This window comes from Homo sapiens, chromosome 20 (assembly GCF_000001405.40).
Source record: "Homo sapiens chromosome 20, GRCh38.p14 Primary Assembly".
NCBI classification, from domain to species: Eukaryota; Metazoa; Chordata; class Mammalia; order Primates; family Hominidae; genus Homo; species Homo sapiens.
The window spans coordinates 22508104-22527068 of record NC_000020.11 but is presented as its reverse complement, the minus strand read 5'-3'; the positions used below and the strand labels follow the sequence as shown (position 1 = coordinate 22527068).

The following is an 18965-nucleotide window of genomic DNA, read 5'->3' as shown; positions in this document are numbered from 1 at the left end:
ATTTACCCTGGAAAAGTAACCCCCAAACCACCTTCCCCAAGTCTCATGTCTGGGACTACCAAAGGCCCAAGATGTTGCTCATGGCTCAAATGTGATTTTTCGTCATTAATAGTGGTTTCTCTAGAATAGCTCAATGCTCAAAATAAAAATTTCTCTTCTTGGGGAGGCAGGTTTCAATGCTAAGGATCACAACAGAAGTAGGGCTGGGTGTTCACATCCGACATGGAAAAGTGCCCCGGGATTTGAGGCAAAAAATCTTTCCCAAATTTCACAGGCTGTGCTTCCCCAACTTCCTCCTTCCTTCTTTCCTTCCTTCTTTAGTTCCTTCCTTCCTTCTTTCCTTCCTTCCTTTCCTCCCTCCCTCCCTCACTCCCTTCCTTTCTTTTTCATTCTCTCTCTCTCTCTCTTTCTCTCTCTCTATCTCTCTCCCCCTCACCCACTGCTCTCTTTCTTCCTCTTTTTTTAGAAACACAGCCTGGCTCCTTTGCCCTGGCTGGAGTGCAGTGGCACAGCCATAGTTGACTGCAGCCTCAATCTCCTGCACACAAATGATCCTCCCCTCAGTCTCCTGAGTAGCTGTGACTATAGGAGTGTCCCACCTCTCCCATGTTTATATTTTGTAGCAAATGGGGTCTCACTATGTTACCCAGGCTGGTCTCAAACTCCTGGGCTCAAGCAATTCTCCTGCCTTGGCTTCTCAAAGTGCTGGGATTACAGGTGTGAGCCACTATGCCCGGCCCCAAATTCCTTTTCCTTGTTTCTCCATAGGAACAAGTAAACTGCCTCTATCCTTGTTCTCATAACACGTTGAACATATGCTGAAATTCCACAGCCCCCAGAGACATTGTCATTCCATTTTATGGATGAAAAAAATCGAACCTTGAAGTAAGTAAGACAATGGGAACTCATCCAGGAGAGATCCGGTCAGGGCTGGAGCCCACTCTTCTCCACTCTGAAACCCTTTCTTTACCCAGCTGTGGTTCCCACCTTGGCTACAAGGAGAGACTGTGCTTATGCACTCTGGCACTGCTCCAGCACGGTTTTATTTTGGACTCTGGCGCCACTCTTGTTCTGCATGCACATAACGGTCCTGGTCACAGCAACTCTTTGCTGGTGCGGAAACACAAGCCAAACCCTAGAGTCCGATCATGGGGATCCACCTGACTCAGGGACTCACCAAGGAGGCTGCACTCAAGGGCATAAGGCTTCCAAGATGCCTTCTATAACTGGACAGCTTTTGCTGCAAAAAGATGCCCTCTGCCCTTTGCATGTGCCACAGTAGGCAACCTCAGGACTTTTCCTTCCTTCCTCTTTCTTTCTTTTACTTTTTTTTTTTTTTTTTTTTGTAGTGAGACAGGGTCTTGCTCTGTCACCCAGGCTGGAGTACAGTGATGCAATCACAGCCCACTGCAACCTCTGCCTCTCAGGCTCAAGTGATCCTCCCATCCTAGCCTCCTGAGTAGATGGGACCACAGGCGTGTGCCACCACACCTGGTTAGTTTTTAAATTTATTGTAGAGATGAGATCTCTCTATGTTGCCTAGGCTGGTCTCAAACTTCTGGGTTCAAGTGATCCTCCTGCCTCAGCCTCCCAAATAGCTGGGATTAGAGCAGGGAGCCACTGTACCCAGCCTCCTCCTTTCCATTCTTCAGTCTCCAGAATTGCAGTTGTTCAACATGAAGAATAAAGAGTGAGTGCTGGAAAACCATTGGAAGTACCTTTATGATGGGGCCATCTGCTTGTATCTGCCCTTTGGAAAAATCAATGATTTTGATTTTTGGGCAGTTATTTAAGCCTGAAAATATTCATTAGAACACCACAGGGGAACAAAGTCCACCCTTCCAGCCCTCATCGATTTCTCTGAAGTTGGTTAGATGTCACAATTTCTCCAAACAGACTCAGGGAAGTTGACCCAGAGAACAGCACCCAGGACCTTGTGCAGCCAGCAGTGCACGGCTGCAAGAGAGATAGCTATTCGAAGCAGAGGCTTTCTTTTTTTTTATTTTTTATTTTTTAAAGACAACATGATTCTTCCCAGAAAAAAATATAAATCCTACAATGACACCCATTGGGCTGGTGGAAATTCAGTAGAGACAGTTTCATAATTTGGAACTTCGTAACTTGTGGCTTAATATATTGCCCCAAGATAAATTATGGAAAAGCTCCATGTATGGGATTGGTTATAAAATCCACTGCCAAACTGTCTTTCTCCTGGGGCTGGTGGGCTAAGAACCATAGCCAGGTCTCACAGATTAGAGAGCCCCCAGGGAGTGAACCTGGAATGCTGGTGACTCAAGAGAACTTGTAGGCCTACAAAAGTCCAGTGCCTCCCCAGAGAGCTGGGTGTAATTTTTCTCCTTGTTGGGAAGATCCGGGGCTCCTTGGGTGCCAGTCTAGCTATCTTTGTACTGACTAGCTAAGCTCTTTCTGTCAGCCAATAGCGTCAACTTAATTTTCATCATGTCATTATTTCCGTGGCCCAGACATGCCAATGGGACATCAAAATTATTTTGATAAGAACTTTACTTCGTCACTTAGGATTACAGCAAATTACACAATCGCTTTCCTTTCCCCAAGGAATCTCTGGCAGAAGAGAATAAAACCATGTAATCCAAGGCAAGGGGGAAGGGAACTAACTTTTATTGCATTTCTCCTAAATCCAGGTGCTTTACATAGATTATCTCAGATAAGTTAATCCTAGGCAACAACCCTATGAGGATTGTCATTTAACAAACAAAGAAAGGGAGATTTAGGGAGGTTGGGAAGGTTACCCAAGACCTCAGGACCAGAGCTGAAAAGCAGGCAGATGTGGGGCCAAAGTCCAGAATGTTTTCATTGACAAAGCACCAGCTAAAACACAGAATACCAATGACTCTTAGACTCATTCCCGGGCCTCCGGCTGACCACGGGAAAGGGGATCTTCAGGAGCGGGTGTCTCATGGCTGGGAAGAGGACGGCACAGGAGGGCTGGGGAACCCGAATTGCAGCCTGAATGGCCAGTGTCCTTTCTCCAGAATGCAGTTCTCCCTTGCTCAGAAGAAATGAGTCTGCCAGTGGGTACAACATGAGATGATACTTCCACCCCCATTGGTGACAGCCCTCACCTAGCTATCAAGGTATGCAGGGCTGACTTTTCACCTTCAGCCTGCTCCAGGGAAGGGCCAGATGGCATTCAGGCTGATTCTGTGCTTCTGGCTGACTAATCTCTCCAGGTACAAGAGTAAACATGGAACGTGGGGACACCATATGTCCCTGACTCATAGAGCTTGCAGGAATCACCGTCATTCTACGTGGCATCTGCTTTCCTCGGCCGAGGTGGGAGGTGGGTCAATGTAGCGGAGGAAACGTGTCTTAAAGTACAAGGCAGAGTGAACTGAAACATAAAGAGAAGTGTGCACCTGGTAGTTGTATCCTAAATGACATTTATTTTCCAAATGTGCTTTGTTTTGCTAGACAGTGTTCGACTTCCTTCACTCCTTCCAGGGGCCAGCATGTGGCTGGCCACTGTCCACCCTCAGGGGTTGTGAACTGAATTAAAGGGTTGCGTCCTTCATCCATTTTCTTTGCTGAACTGTCTTGAATTTTACCCTAAGTTCAAAATGAAGCAGACCATAGCTGAGTTTAAAGGAGATCCGATTGACATTGGGAAGTGGCACCCAATAAGATGGCTGTTTCTTCCGCCTGCTCCAGGGCTCGCCAACAGGAGAACTGAAAGCTGAAGGTGAGATTAGGGTGTAGGGTCAGCTGCTTGGGGCTGGGATTGCTGGCAAACTCTGAGGGCGGGCAGTGAGCGCTCATTAGGAGCACATGGCTCATGAAGCTTCTAGCACCTGTTCCTGAGTCAACCAGAGTAACGAAGAGGATGAAGTAGCCAAGTCCGGATTCTTAAGCATAGAATCAGAGAAGTAAGTGAAGCAGATGCAGTAAGTGAAGCACAGAGGGGTGATATAACCCACCTAGGACTACACACTTGTGGAAGGTCCAAGTGGAACCAGAGACCAGGGCCTCTCCAAGATCCAAGGCTTTTCTAGAAAGAAAGACTCCACTGGGCCCTCTAGCATTTCTGAGTCACTCTGAGCCACATGCCATGGGACCCCAGGAGTGAACGGCCTGCATTTCATAGGGTTAGGGTCATCGCCTGCACTTTGCAACCAGAGCCTTAGGAAGGTTAAGAATGACCCAGGGTTGAGAAAACAGTGAAAGGCATTCTAAACCACATCTTCTCCACTGTCAAGAGCCTTATCGCATCTGTGACAGTTTCCCATTTCCTATCCCATCCTACCTTGACATATTTGTGAGATGGGTCTTGTTCACCACTGCACAGATATGGAAGTTGAGATCCTGAAAGATCAAATGACCCATCCCAGGGCACACTGTCAACTGCATGGAGAGGATATTAGAACTTACCCAGAGCCTCAGATACTTCCAAAGCTCTATGCCTACATAGTCTTGATATTGTTCTTAGGCTGATGGGCTCATAAATATAGAAGACAGACTGAGAATTTATGCCTTTGGCCAAAGGAAAACACAGGAGTGCTTACTTCCACTGTATACTCCATTTCCAAATCCCTGATAGCACTGGCCCCTGCCATGAAGGACATAGGATCTTCTCAACTTTCTTTATCTTTTGGTTTTTGTTTTAATAAAGTCTCTGGAGCTTTCCTTCTAAAGCAAAAATTCCAACTCCAGTTGAAGAATGTTTCTAGGCCAGGCACAGTGGCTCATGCCTGTAATCCCAGCACTTTGGGAGGCCGAGGCGCACGGATCGCCTGAGGTCAGGAGTTCGAGACCAGCCTGGCCAGCATGGCAAAAGTTCGTCTCTACTAAAAATACAAAAATTAGCTGCGTGTGGTGGCACACACCTGTAACCCCAGCTACTCGGGAGGCTGAGGCAGGAGAATCACTTGAACCCAGGAGACAGAGGTTGCAGTGAGTGGAGATGGTGCCACGGCACTGTAGCCTTGGCAACAGAGCCCGGGGGCGGGGAGTGGGGGGATGAATGTAAGAATGTTTCTAAGGCTAGTCCATGACAGATTTTTTTTTTTTTTTTTTTGAGACAGAGTCTCACTGTTGCCAAGGCTAGAGTGCTCCAGGGTGCAAGCGATCCTCCCACCTCAGCCTCACAAGTAGCTGGGACCACAGGCACATGCCACCACATCTGGCTAATTTCTAAAATTTATTTTTTTGTAGAGATGGGGTCTCCGTATGTTGCCAGGCTGGCCTCGAACTCATGGGCTCAAGTAATCCTCCTGCCTTGTCCTCTCAAAGTACTGGGATTACAGATGTGAGTCACCCCACCCAGCCTATGACAAAATTTATTCTTCACTTTTGAGAAAGCTGGACTCTACCTGTTTAATAGAGCGGGGTTGCTTTTTTTTTTTTTTTTTTTTTTTTTTTCCGAGACATAATTTTGCTTTTCTTGCTCAGGCTGGAGTGCAATGGCGCAATCTTGGCTTACTGCAACCTCCATCTGCCTCCCGTGTTCGAGCGATTCTCCTGCCTCAGCATCCTGAGTAGCTAGGATTACAGGCGCCTGCCACCACAATCGGCTAATTTTTGTATTTTTAGTAGAGATGGGGTTTCATCATATTGGACAGGCTGGTCTCAAACTTCTGACCTCAGGCGATCTGCCTGCCTCGGCCTCCCAAAGTGCTGGGATTACAGGCATGAGCCACCAAGTCCGGCCAATTTTATTTCTTAAAAGCAACCCCAGCTGGGCACAAGGCTCATGCCTTTAATCCCAGCACTTTGGGAGGCCAAGGTGGGCAGATCACCCTTGGTTAGGAATTCGAGACCAGCCTGGCCAACATGGTGAAACCCCGTCTCTACTAAAAATACAAAAATTAGCCGGGTGTGGTGGCAGGTGCCTGTAATCCCAGCTACTTGGGAGGCTGAGGCAGGAGAATCGCTTGAACCCAGGAGGCAGAGGTTGTGGTGAGCTGAGATCATGCCATTGCACTCCAGCCTGGGCGACAAGAGTGAGACTTCGTCTCAAAAAAAAAGAAAGAAAGAAAGAAAGAAAATCTTAGAAATAATCCTCTCAGAAAAGGTAGAAGTAACACTCCATGGTTTCTTGCCCATCACAGTGAAATTTTATTGAGGGAGAAGTGTTGGTCCAGAAATTCAATTCAGCCTCAACGAGGTCACTGCTGCTGGGGAGAGGCAGAGGAGCGCACACCAGTTACTGTTGCAGAGGGGATATCTTCACAGCAAGGGATATTTAGAAAGGAAATTATTTTGAAAAGCTTATGCTAACCTTAGCCAAACATGCTAGTGTCCCAGAATTATGGCCTCCTGCTTGACTTCTCACTGGAACGTCGTATGTGAATTCTCTTCTCCTTGTTTCAGCATCTCAACCTGCAGATACATCTCAAAGGCCCCTTCAGCCGATGTCCTCAGTGCCCTTGACACAGCCCCTTGGCACTTGCCTTCCACACACATGCTGCTGCACCAGTTTCCTCCTGGTAGCATCTTCCTTTCCGCCTGAGGATTTCCCAGGCATCCTGCCTCCAAGAAAGTCAGAAGTCAGTGCCTTCCTGAGAGCCGGTGAGAGCTCCGTCTCCCTTGGGCAAGTGGTGCTGATGCCTGTTCCCTGCATCCATCTCTCAGAAGCCACAGCAGAACTGAGCTCCAGGGGCCACTGCGGTAAGCTCCACAATCTCGTGGGGCACCTGCCCTTCTTTGCCCTGCTTCCCTTCTTCCTCACAGTGTTTCAAACAAACTCCTTATAAGGGAATCTTTCTTTCAGGGTCGTCATCTGGGGGGCTTCAAACTAAGATACCTCAAACTCAGCATTCTTGGAGCATGTGCCTCTCCCTCCTGTTTTCCCATCTCAGTTAATGATAGCACCCCTGACAGCTTCTAGACCAGAAATGAGAGAGATTATGTTTCGTACTCTTTCTTCCGTATTTGAAAGCCCATCTTTCAAGTGGACATCAATTTGTAAGAATTACACCTAAAAAAGTCTCTTTGATTAGTACTTCTCTCACTCTCATTTCTCTCTAGCTAAAGCTCAACAAAACCTTGGACAATTGTAATCGTTCCCTAACTCCTTTATATATCTTTAATGTATCCTCTCTCCAGTCTATTCCTCATAGAGCCACATGACTTATCTTTGGAAAACACAACTTTGATCACATATTGCCTTGCCCGAAACCTTCTGATAGCTCTCCCCTGCCTCCAGGAGAAGGCCCAACCTCCCTAGCTCTGCACAGATCCTCATGAGCAGGTCCTACTTTAAGTCTCTCCAGGCCGGACCTTCACCCACTGGCAACCCACCACCCACCCTGTACTTGCAAGTCCCCAAACAATAGTCTACCTTTGTCAACACTGGGCTTTGCACATGAACATGCTATTCCTTGACCTTAGAATGTTTTTCACTTCTTTTTTTTGGTCTGATGAATTTGTAACATCCCCAAACAACCTAATTGAAACGTCCCTTGCCTGCCCCCCACAGACAAGTTAGACGGATCTTTCCCCTGTCTCTGTGCACAGGTACTATCATATCTGGTGCAGCATATTCTCACTCATGTGTCTTTGCCACTTTGCTGTGAACTCCTTCGGTGCAGGGAGCATTTCTTACTGTGTGGATTCCTGTAGTTCCTGCATAAATGTTGACTGGCACAAAAAGTGGGTACCCAATAGTTACATCCTTCCAGGTCCTTAGGCCAAAACTGGAGTCATCCAGACACTTGCTTTCCTTTACACCTCACACATTCAGTCCATCAAGACATCTGCTAGTTCTGTCTTTAAAGTCCATCTAGAATCCTGCCACTTTCCACAACCCCATGTTACCAATGGGATCCACGCCCATCTCATGCCTAGATTATTACAGGAGCCTCCTGCTGCTTACTTCGTTTTCACCCTCACCAACCTATACTCTATTTTCTTTCTTTCTTTTTTTCTTTGAGACGGAGTCTTGCTCTGTTGCCAGGCTGCAGTGCAGTGGTACGATCTTGGCTCACTGCAACCTCTGCCTCCCCGGTTCAAGCAATTCCTCTGCCTCAGCCTCCCGAGTATCTGGGACTAGAGGAACACACCACCAGGCCCAACTAATTTTTTGTATTTTAGTAGAGACGGGGTTTCACCATTTTGGCCAGGATGGTCTCGATCTCCTGACCTCGTGATCTGCCTGCCTCGGCCTCCCAAAGTGCTGGGATTACAGGCATGAGCCACCACACCGGCCCCTATACTCTATTTTCAACAAAGGAGGTAGTCATCTTTTAAAAATGTAAGGAGGTTTGAGCCACGCCCCACCTCAGCACCCAATGTCATCCCCATTTCACTGAGATCCAGTAATACTTCCTGTGTCTTCATCCTACTCCCCCGCTGAGATCATCTACCACCCTCTCCCTGCTCCTCAACTTCATCCCCAGCCTCCAGCCCACCTAGAATACTCTCCCCTCAGCCTCAGCATGCTTAACACCTCACCTGCTCCATGTCTGTGCTTCAATGCCACTTTCTTAATGAAAACCAGAGCTACAGTTGGAATCACCTGCCCACACCTCCCTCATTCCCCACTTTTTATTTTTCCATAGCACTCATTGGCTTTGAGCATACTCTAAAATTCACTTATTTCCTACTTTTATTTCTTATTGGCTGCCTCTGTGCATGCAAAGACAAGCCTCCTATTTGCTGGAAACTGGCAAGTGCTGGAAACAGTCTGACACACAAAAGGTGCTCAGTAGCTTTACTAAGGGATAAATGGAAAAATGGGTACAACTTCTTTGACTGTGGAGTCACCTTATGTGTCTGAGAATGGTTTGCGGCTGGGCACGGTGGCTCACAGCTGTAATCCCAGTACTTTGGGAGGCCGAGGCCGGTAGATCACTTGAGATCAGGAGTTCAAGATCAGCCTGGCCAACATGGCAAAACCCTGTCTCTACTAAAAATACAAAAATGAGCCAGGTGTGGTGGCAGGTGCCTGTAGTCCCAGCTACTGGGGAGGCTGAGGCAGGATAATTACTTGAACCCAGGAGGTGGAGGTTGCAGTGAGCCAAGATCGTGCCACTGCACTCCAGCCTGGGCAACACAGCGAGATTCAGTCTTAAAAAAACAACAACAATGGTTTACGAAAGATATGCCTCAGAAACATGCCTCAGAAATGTGGCCTTTTGTTAAACTCCTGGTTAAGATCACCTTTCCATTGAACAAATAATATTTGAAAAGTATAGAGTGATTTATATAGCCAAAGTCTAGAAATATAATTAATATTAAAAAATGACAAAAGGCAAAATTTATTTTAATAATATTTTATTTAACCTAATAATTCCAAAAATTATGTCAGTGTGTAATCAATATAAAACTATCAAAGACCTATTTTACATTATGTTATATATTAAGTCATCACAATGTAGTGTGTATTTTACACTAAAAGGCACATCTCAATTTGGACCAAACACCTTCCACCTGCTCATTAGCCATTTGTGCTACCATATTAGACAGCGCAGATCAAAGCAAGTCCCATTTTAGGAAAAGTTCTTGGGTGGAAGATTGGCTTTGTTTGCTTGTCTTTGTAGTAAATGAGTTATTGGAAATATATCCTAAATTCTAATGCTTTAAATGAGTTACTTTTTAGGTTAGCCAATATAAATTCCATTAATGACTCCTAACTCTGTTAAATCTCAGTCACATCTAAGCATTGTTGTAAGCTTGATATCTATTGGATATATCACCAGAGTCCAGCCTGCTGTAGGGCTGAGTTAGCAGAGCTGAGGCTACTTCATTATTTTTTGCACAAAAAAGCATCTACCTAGGTCAGACACCCGGTTCCCCAGGCATCATGATTTCTAAAGTTGAGAAGTGATATGAGGAGAAGCCATTCCCTGATGACTCTTCCCTCCCACCCATTTGTGGATGTGCATCGATTAAGGGCTGCTGGTGTGAACCTAGAGAAAATTGCCCGATAGCCTTGGGTCAAGCAATTATACTGTTTTTCCACATTTACATCTCATTGACACATTGTGAGCAACATAGCTGAACTGTGAACTGTGAGAGGTTATGTGTTATCAGTAGCTTTAAGAACTTGATGCATTGATTACTTAAGACTTTTTTTTTTTCAGAGAAGCATTTATGGAGCTCGTGGAGTGAGGCATCTCTTTAATCCCTTCAGTAAGTCAGTGTGGGCCAAGGAGTCTGAGGATCAGAGACCTTGTGACTTTTTAAGTGAAGATTTACTATGTGCTGGGGCCCATTGTGTTTTATTTTATTGACTCGTCCCAAGCTCTAAGAGGGAGAGACCTTGATTGTCCCAATTTCACTGACACAGTTTGGGAAGGTTAAAACATGATGAAAGGAAATAGACTGGAATGATACAGTAATATGGAATTGAGCATTTTCACCAACATTTTTACATGTTTTAAAATGTCATTTTCTGGCCAGGGGTGGTGGCTCACGCCTGTAACCCCAGCACTTTGGGAAGCTGAGGCTGGTGGATCACTTGAGGCCAGGAGTTTGTGACCAGCCTGGCCAACACAGTGAAACCATGTTTCTACTAAAAATATAAAAAAATGGCTTGGTGTGGCCGTGCGCACTTTAATACCAGGTACTTGGAAGGCCGAGGCATGAGAATCACTTGAAACTGGGAGGCAGAGTTTGCAGTGAGCCAAGATCGTGCCACTGCACTCCAGCCTCGGAGACAGAGTGAGACTCTGTCTCAAAAAAAAAAAAAAAAAAAGTAAATAAAAATAAAATGGTATTTTATTTTTCTTTCATTCTTTTTTTTTTTTTTTACAAAAAAACTTTTATTATTATTTTAGATTTAAGAGGCACGTGTGCAGGTTTGTTACGTTGATATATTGCATAATGGTAAGTTTTGGGCTTCTAGTGAACCCTTCACTCAAACAGTGACCGTTGTATCTGACAGATAATTTTTCAGTTTTCACCTTCCTTCTGCTCTCCTGGCTTTTGGGTTCCCAGTGTCTATTTTTTCCATCTCTATGTCCATGTGGGCCCATTGTTTAGCTCCCACTTACAAGTGAGGACATGCAGTATTTGATTTCCTGTTTCTGAGTTATTTAACTCAGAATAATGGTCTCCAGCTCCATTCATGCTGCTGCAAAAGACATGATTTCATTCTTAAAATGGCACTTTATGAGGTTCGCTTTTCCTGGCAAGATGAACTAACAAAATGGAGATGTTGGATTCTTTTATTAAACCCAAATGTGGTGAGCCACAGATGGAAGGTAGAAGGTTGCTGATTCTCGAAAAAGAATCTGGGAAATGATAGCCTAGGGTCAGGAGGGCCAGGTACCAAAAGGGAGGCTGGCTGGGGTTGTGGAGTTATGTGCTTTTCCTTCCCTGAACTTCCCTCAAGAAAATAAGAGCTTCCCCATCACCTCAGCAAAGCATCAGTCCCCCGGTGTTGAACCAGCTGGTACTCTGGCAGCCCTAAAGCACTCTCCTCCCGAGCTCCCACTTAAGCAAGGTGGGGATGATTTTAAGGCAGGCAGCTGTAGAAAAAGAGTAGGGCTCTGGGAGCTCTCCAGAGCTCCTCTGTCACCTGGCACAGAGGGTGGGTCACTCAGGGGAGGTCCAGCCCACAATAAACATGGAAGCCACGCACCCCGATGTCATCCCCCAGGCTCATCCTCACCACGAGGCAGGCAAGGCCTGCACCTGGGCCTTTGCTCCTTCTCCCAGGGATGTCAGACCAGCCAAGGCAGCCGGTGTTTCCACATGCATGTGGGCTCAGGAGGATATGAAAGGGTCAGGGCCAGCCCAATAACTGAGCCACACACACTAGATGAGATGGTAGGGGAGTTCAGGCAGGGCATGAATTAAAGGAAGCTTAATAAATATTCTCAAACAGATCAGGAAAAACAAAACAAGAACACACAGCCACAAACAGACTTTAATTGTTGGAATAAAGAGCATAATTGAGGGACTGAATAGTAGGGTGGATTCAGTGGAAGAACAAATCAGGAAGGACTCAGCAAGATGAAGAGATTGAGACGGAAAGTAATAGTTAAGAACATGGCTCCCTATAACAGGAGTCCCAGAAAGAGGAAAAAAATAAACAGGGGGTGAAACACACACACAATTTCAGAATGTAAGGTCTTATAGATATAATAATAGTAGGAGAGATGTCAATAAATCTTTTAAAAAAACACTGACAAAGGAGACAAAAATTACCAATAATTTGGAATATTTGAGAAGCATTATAACAGTTACTTAATGTTATATTGTCCAATACAGTAGCCGATAGCTACATAACTCTTGAGCACTTGAAGTGTAGCTAATGCAAGAAAATTTTAAGATTTTATTTAATTTTAATTAATTTAAATTTTAAAACCTAATACTTAATTCAGGTATTGAAAAACTTTTAAGTATGTTTAGAACAATCTGCTCTTTCAATTGTAAATTGAAATCTAAATACAGATCAAGTGTATCCAATTTTAGTATTTGTATTGAAATGCACTGAAAGAGCTAAATCCACCCCAGGTTTCTAACACTCAATACAGAAAAATAATGTAAAGCATCTTGTTAATATTTTTATATTGATTATATGTTCAAATTGTTGTTTTGTATATATTGTCTTAAATAATATTATTAAAATTAATTTCACCTGTGCATTTTCACTTTTTAATATGGCTTCTAGAAAATATAAAATTATATATGTGGCTGGCATTATATTTCTTTTGGACAACACTGATCTAATAGATGTACATAACTTACACCCACAGAGAATATTCATTTTAATTCCCATGGAACAAAGAAAACTTTTGTAAATGCCAAGTAATCAATACATACACAATGTGTTGATTATAATGAAATAAAGTTAAAAAATCAGTAATGGCAATAAAACCACTTCGACCATCTCTTGGACACATAAAACATTATAATGTATGGTATATAACCATTGGGGTTTAGAGGAAATTTAAAAGATATTACAAAATACTTGGAACTGGATAAGAACAAAAGTGTCAAATGTCAAACTTTATGACCCATAACTCTCAAGTTGCACTTAAAGTTTTACATAATTTTGAATACACAAATAGCAAACAAGACACCGAAAGACCACATACCTAAGGACATAACTAAACATATTAGAAAAAGAAAAAGAAAAATGACAGAATAAAACCAAAGCAAAGAAAAAGATATAAAGTGAGTTTAAAAAAATCAATGAAATTGCCAAAAATCCCCATTAAAATGTGATTCTTTGAAAAATGAGATGGCAAAAGTGTCTGTGAAACTCTACACGCCAATACATTTAGACCCAGATGGACAACGGCTTAGGAAAAATAGCAGCCTTGGACTAGAGGAATCAAAGGAAAGCTGCCGACATGGAGTCACAAACAGCACTCTCTCTCCCAATAGAAGCTTCTAGACAGGTTCCAAACCCAAACTAGGAAACCCGTTCCAGGAGGTTCCTAAGTGAGTGAGTGATTTGGGAGCCAGAACACACAGGGAATCCAGGGGAAAGTAGTAAAATAAAATAAAACAAGAAGGGCCTTGGGTGAGCACACTGCACCATGGCCTGAGTAGTAGTATTATTTCAATTATTTGCACCTGAGGAGACGTACAGTTGCTTTCAATGTCCAGAATTTGCAGGTGAACCTCTCAGACCTTTGCTTTTCTCCTTTATGGGTTTCTTTTCCCTGGGACACATTGTCAGCCCTTAGCTGCTCACTAAAGCCTCCTGATTTGAGATCTATATGACAAATGCCTGATGCTAAGCAGAGATGCTGAGGCCTGGAGCCAGGAAGGCGAATTAGTTTCCTAGTTCTAAAGGTAGGGGTGTGTGGTGCATGCATGAGAGAGAGAGAGAGAGAGAAACAAGAGGGAGAGAGGGAGAGAGAGAGAGAAACAAGAGGGAGAGAAGGAGAGAGAGAGGGAAAGAGAGAGGGAGAGAGGGAGAGAGGCAGAGAGAGAGGGAGAGAGGGAGAGAGGCAGAGAGAGAGGGAGAGAGGGAGAGAGGGAGAGAGAGAGAGAAAAGAGAGAGAGAGGGAGAGAGGGAGAGTATATAAAAATTCTCTTGCTCTCTTTGCTTCTGTAGATGTAGTTAACAAGTCCACTTTTAGGGCTTAATCTGCTGGGCACACTTTCTTGATTTTATAGCTAGAAATGATCTAATTTAGGCAGAGGGGGCTGCCTGAAGTAAATACAGCACTGGTTCAATTAGGTGGGGATAGATATGCACTACCTTTAAAAGAAGATAAAGACATTTGAACTGTTGGAAATACTAAACCGATCAGCCATCACCCTTTCCTAACATACCCAGATAGTAGCTGCACCCCCTGCTTTGCTTTGGGACTATAGGCAGAGCCAAGGGGACTGTCCCCTCTGCATGACCCGCAGCTACTCTCCCTTTGTCTGCAAACAACCGAGAGGAGCGAGTTGGAGCCCAGAGCAGCAGAGACTCAGCCTAGCAGCTGACTGGGCCAGGTGCGTTTCCATTGGCTGCAGAGGCCCGGTTGAGCTCTATTTTCTTCTGTACATAAAGATAAGAAGCCAAGGGCCCCCTTCCGAAAGCAAACACGTTTAATTGGAACCACCGCCTCCCCATGATTCACCGGATGGAATTTACAATGGTGTTTACCTTTTTCCACAAAAGTAGCAAATGAATCAATCCCAATAGGAAATATAAATCTAGGAAATATAAATCCCCAGCAGATGCATTTCGAACCACACAGGAAAGGACTCACTGAGAAAGAAGGCCCCTGTAACTCTAGAGGGTTTTGCCCAGAAGTAAGAGTCAAGAGTGGTCCAGATTAGTTGAGGAGAAGCAACTTCACATATGAGCTTAAAACAAGTCCTTGCACGAGCCACCTTTTGCTTGGCCCCTCTTAGCAGTGGGAATTCAGACAAAACTTCAGGAATGCTTTGCTGGGCAGCTGTGGTGCATTCAAAGCAGAGAAACTGCCTTAATCTTTGCAAAACCAACAAAGATAAGCAATAGCTTTAGCTGGGCTGAAATTAGCCAATGCGCTGCTACACAATGCCCTGGTGACCATTATCCAGGCTCTGACCGCCGCACGGCACTGCGCAAGCATGCTGGCAATGTTTAACAAACCATCTGTCTTGTACCTGCTCCCACTCAACAGGGGCCTTTGTTTGAACCCTGGCCCCATCCAGCATGTCAGCTATCTATTCCCCAACAGGGGAAGCCCCTTCATCCCATTGTACAATTTTCATAACTCTTTTGATTCCAGTTTGTCCTACAGAATGACTTCTGCCAGAGAACATTTTGGAAAGGGAGATATGGATTCTGAATCTGTCCACTGATTAGTTTCTAGAGCACCATGTGTGTGAAACCTTACTTGCTTATGTGATTTCCCCCTCATTTGTCTTTTTTTAAGAGAATTTCAATATTCATTCAAATGTTGATTTTATTTTTTCCTTGGTTAGCTGTGTTTAAGTTAGAAACCTCTCTCTCTTGTTCTTTTCCTCTCAGATATATGTTTTATACTGCAGTAAGATATTTTCTGCATATGTCGGGTGCAGTGGCTCACAACTGTAATCTTAGCACTTTGGGAGGCTGAGGCAGAAGGATCGCTTGAGCCCAGAAGTTTGACAGGAGACCCTGGACTCTACAAAATATATACACACGTGCATGTACATACATACACACACACACACACACATATACACACATATACTCTGCCTAAATCGCACAGTACCTGGAATTTACTGATTATATTACATAGGTGTTAGACGAAACCATTTGAACTTAATGTTTTCATAGATTTATAACAAATATTGACGGTTCATTTCATATGGTCCAATATATGTATTTCCTTGTAAAACTGCCCACATTATTTTAGACTAGAGATTTGAGAAGATAACTGATCCAATACATGGTTTTTATTAAAAAAAAGAAAGTCTCCTTTGAGAATTTATTTATTTATTTATTTTGAGATGGAGTCTCCCTCTGTCGCCCAGGCTGGAGTGCAGTGGCGCGATCTCGGTTCACTGCAAGCTCCGCCTCCCAGGTTCACGCCACTCTCCTGCCTCGGCCTCCCGAGTATCTGGGACTACAGGCGCCCGCCACCATGCCCGGCTAATTTTTTGTATTTTTAGTAGAGACGGGGTTTCACCGTGTTAGCCAGGATGGTCTCGATTTCCTGACCTCGTGATCTGCCCGCCTCGGCCTCCCAAAGTGCTGGGATTACAGGCGTGAGCCACTGTGCCCAGCCGAGAATTTATTATTTCTCTTTTTCTTCTTCACCTTGCCTGGCTCTCAGCGATTCTCCCTCATGCTCAGGAGTAAAATGTCCCCATATTCTTTTTCTATATGTCACCATGCTAACGTAATTTCAATTACCTCAGATACACCTTCGCAATGGTGACCACAAGAATCCACTCAGCCTTGGAAGCTGTCCTTGAAACTCACCCTGAAATCCCTGCCTAGCAGACAGGAGACCTCAGGCTGGACTCCACTCACTATGTTATCTCGGCCTCCCCGGGACTCTTAGGACACGACTTTCTTAATCTTTCCAAGGGGCTAAGCTTAACCAAAAGGAAATACTGCATAAGATGTGTGAATACTTCAAGATCTGTGGAATATGAAGCTGAAAACAGCTCTGTGTTTAGAAATGGTTACCGTGCATGTGTCTGTTTCCCCGAACTAGCACCAGAGCCTCGGTTTGAGGGTCTGTATTTGATCCTTTTCTCCTTAGAAAAGAGAGACCTTGTTGAAGGAATGTTCTTTTTCCAGAGGAAATTTGGGAAACAAAACGGTCACCTTAAAAACAGCAGCACAAGAAAGTTTGTCCTTAAATTTAAATTTTCTTTCAAGCCAGGAATTAAAGCAAAGGTGGGAGTGGAAGAATCTCTTCAGATTGTAACTCTTGAAATTTCCAGGCTAAGGGAAGTCACTGTGGGAGCATTCGAGCAGATTGGTGGTCACCACTGGGGATTCTAGGAAAGACACGTTTCTTCATGTTTTTAATCTCATCCTTTAATTCCAATTTCGGTGTATGTTATATGTTTTGTAAGGTATTCTAACATTAAATACGTGTTATATGAATACAGTGTATGTTCATGAATATTTCCTTCAGTTTTATATTTGAGTTGTTTTGGCCTTTTGACTTGTGAATAATGCTGCTGTGAACAGCATGTGCATGTATTTGTTGGAGTCTCTGTTTTCAGTTCTTTAGGGCGTATACCTAGAAGTCTCTAGGTCATATGGTAATCCTATGTCAATTTTTTTGAGGTATTGCCAAGCCGTTCCCCACAACAGCTGCACCATTTTACTTTCCTACCAGCCATTGTAAAAGGGTTTCAGCTTCTCCGCATCCTTGTCAACACTTATATCCCTTAAAACAACAACAGCAATGAACTCACGGTCATCCTAGTGGATGTGAAATGTTGTGTCATTGTGGTGTTTATTTGCATTTTCCAAGAGTCATCTTTGTCCACATGTCCTTTGAATTGAACTTCAAGGACAAGGATATGCACCCTCTGGTGTTGGTTGAGAATGATTTGTGGGTCCTTCCACAGTCCCCTCTGGTATCTCCTAGAAGCTACCACATGGCCACAGGTGCGGGTGCCTCAGTAGGTCCCCCTTCCTAAGAAGCATCGCTGTCACCAGGCCAAGCAGGCCAGGAAGGAGGAGTGGTGTGTACCCCATAGTGAAGGGAAAAGAAAAGAAGACTCAACTGCAGGCAGAGAAGGAGCAGGATCATTGGAGCCCAGGGTGTGGAGACAGCCAGGCTCTGGGAAGTCAGAAGAAAGAGCACTTTTCTAGGCAAAAGGCCCTGTGATGGGCCAGAGTCCTGAAGCCTAAACAGGACCATAGCACGGAGGTGTGTTCTGTGTGCACAGGCAAAGAGACACAACCCAAGGCCAAGAGTGGGCAGGAAGGCAAGGAGTGAAGTGAGATCTCCGGTACAGAAGGCAGGTGGACAACATAGGCTTAGACCAGGGAGCTTCAGAGTCTTGGGGTCCAGAATATACTGGCACATCTGCAAACAAATGGAGGAGCAATTCCTGCTCCTGAGCCCAGAACCTCTCCTCTGTTTCGGGTTGAAATGGTGGTTCTCAACCTGGGCCACAGTTCGAGCCACTTGCTGAGCTTATTAAAATCCCCATGCCCAAGCCAACTAAATCAGATCCACTGTGTGTGGGGACCCAGGCATCAGTATTTTGACATTCCCCTACTAATTCAAATGGGAAGCCAAGTTTGAGAAAAGAAGAATTTTAGGTTTAAAATAGTAGATTTAAAATGTGGAATTTATTAGATGTTTTTGTTATGAAATAAATATGATCATGTTGTAGGAGTTTGGAGGAAAAGAAGATGATGAAGGAAGAAGATACCACCTGTTGCCTCCTGACCTTCTGGCTGATGCAGATGTTGCAGCCTGTGCCCTATTTGGGGGGTTCCATTCCTAAAAGAACAAATTGGGACTGGCAGCCAGGGTTGGGCTGTGCTGCTGGGGATAGGATGTGATGTATCTTCTGAGTCCCCAGCACTGAGGCGGGCGTAGTGATGGTAGCACTCAATAAATGTTTGTAGGGTGAGTGAATGGAAGCATGAAGGCATGAATTCATGAAAAGCAGCCCGAGACATGGTCCCCGCCCTCTAGGAACTTACAAAGGGGCGGCTGAATAGGCATTACAATAACAATAATCGGAGGGCAGTAATAGTTCCCACATCGGTGGTTCTGTGTGTCTGTGCATGCAGGCCTGCAGCCAGGGAAACCAGGGGAGGGGTTCTGAAAACTCTGTTTAGTAGCTGTGGCCTCTCTTATCTTTATTAATGCACCACAAAGCACTGTCACACTGTCCTCTTCTCGATAAAACCCATAAACAGGAGCAGAGGAAAACCCAAGGAGGCAGGTGCCAGAGGGGCCCGGAGCCCTCTCGGGTGGCCACAGAGACAGAAGTTGAGGAGAGCGGAGAAAACCTGACCTCTTGGATGTGGAGTTATTCTGTTGATTTTTTTTCTTCTTTGCTTCTTTGATAATATGTCCCCAAGTTCTCTAGCCTACAGATAAATGAAGTAAGTTGATAAGCTGAGAGCT

General features: G+C 44.6%; 1 long non-coding RNA gene across 4 annotated transcripts, besides 1 other annotated feature; it reads left to right on the top strand.

Annotated features, from left to right (window-relative positions):
• Positions 1-2878: 2878 nt before the first annotated feature.
• LOC105372564 (uncharacterized) lies at positions 2879-16969 on the top strand. Of its 4 annotated transcripts, none has more exons than XR_007067727.1 (4): positions 2879-3116; positions 3454-3721; positions 6349-6645; positions 16270-16969. It is a non-coding gene; the product is annotated as an uncharacterized LOC105372564 (long non-coding RNA). The 4 variants fall into 4 exon arrangements; XR_937343.3 differs by lacking the exon at positions 16270-16969 and adding an exon at positions 10062-11825; XR_937341.3 differs by having other exon boundaries at positions 2879-3721.
• Positions 13823-14324: an enhancer, noted in NCBI's record as "H3K4me1 hESC enhancer chr20:22493383-22493884 (GRCh37/hg19 assembly coordinates)". NCBI's record gives its function as "activates a minimal SCP1, AML or CMV promoter by ChIP-STARR-seq in naive H9 embryonic stem cells {active_cell/tissue: H9 hESC(naive)}" and the evidence as "EXISTENCE:reporter gene assay evidence [ECO:0000049][PMID:30033119]".
• Positions 16970-18965: the final 1996 nt, after the last annotated feature.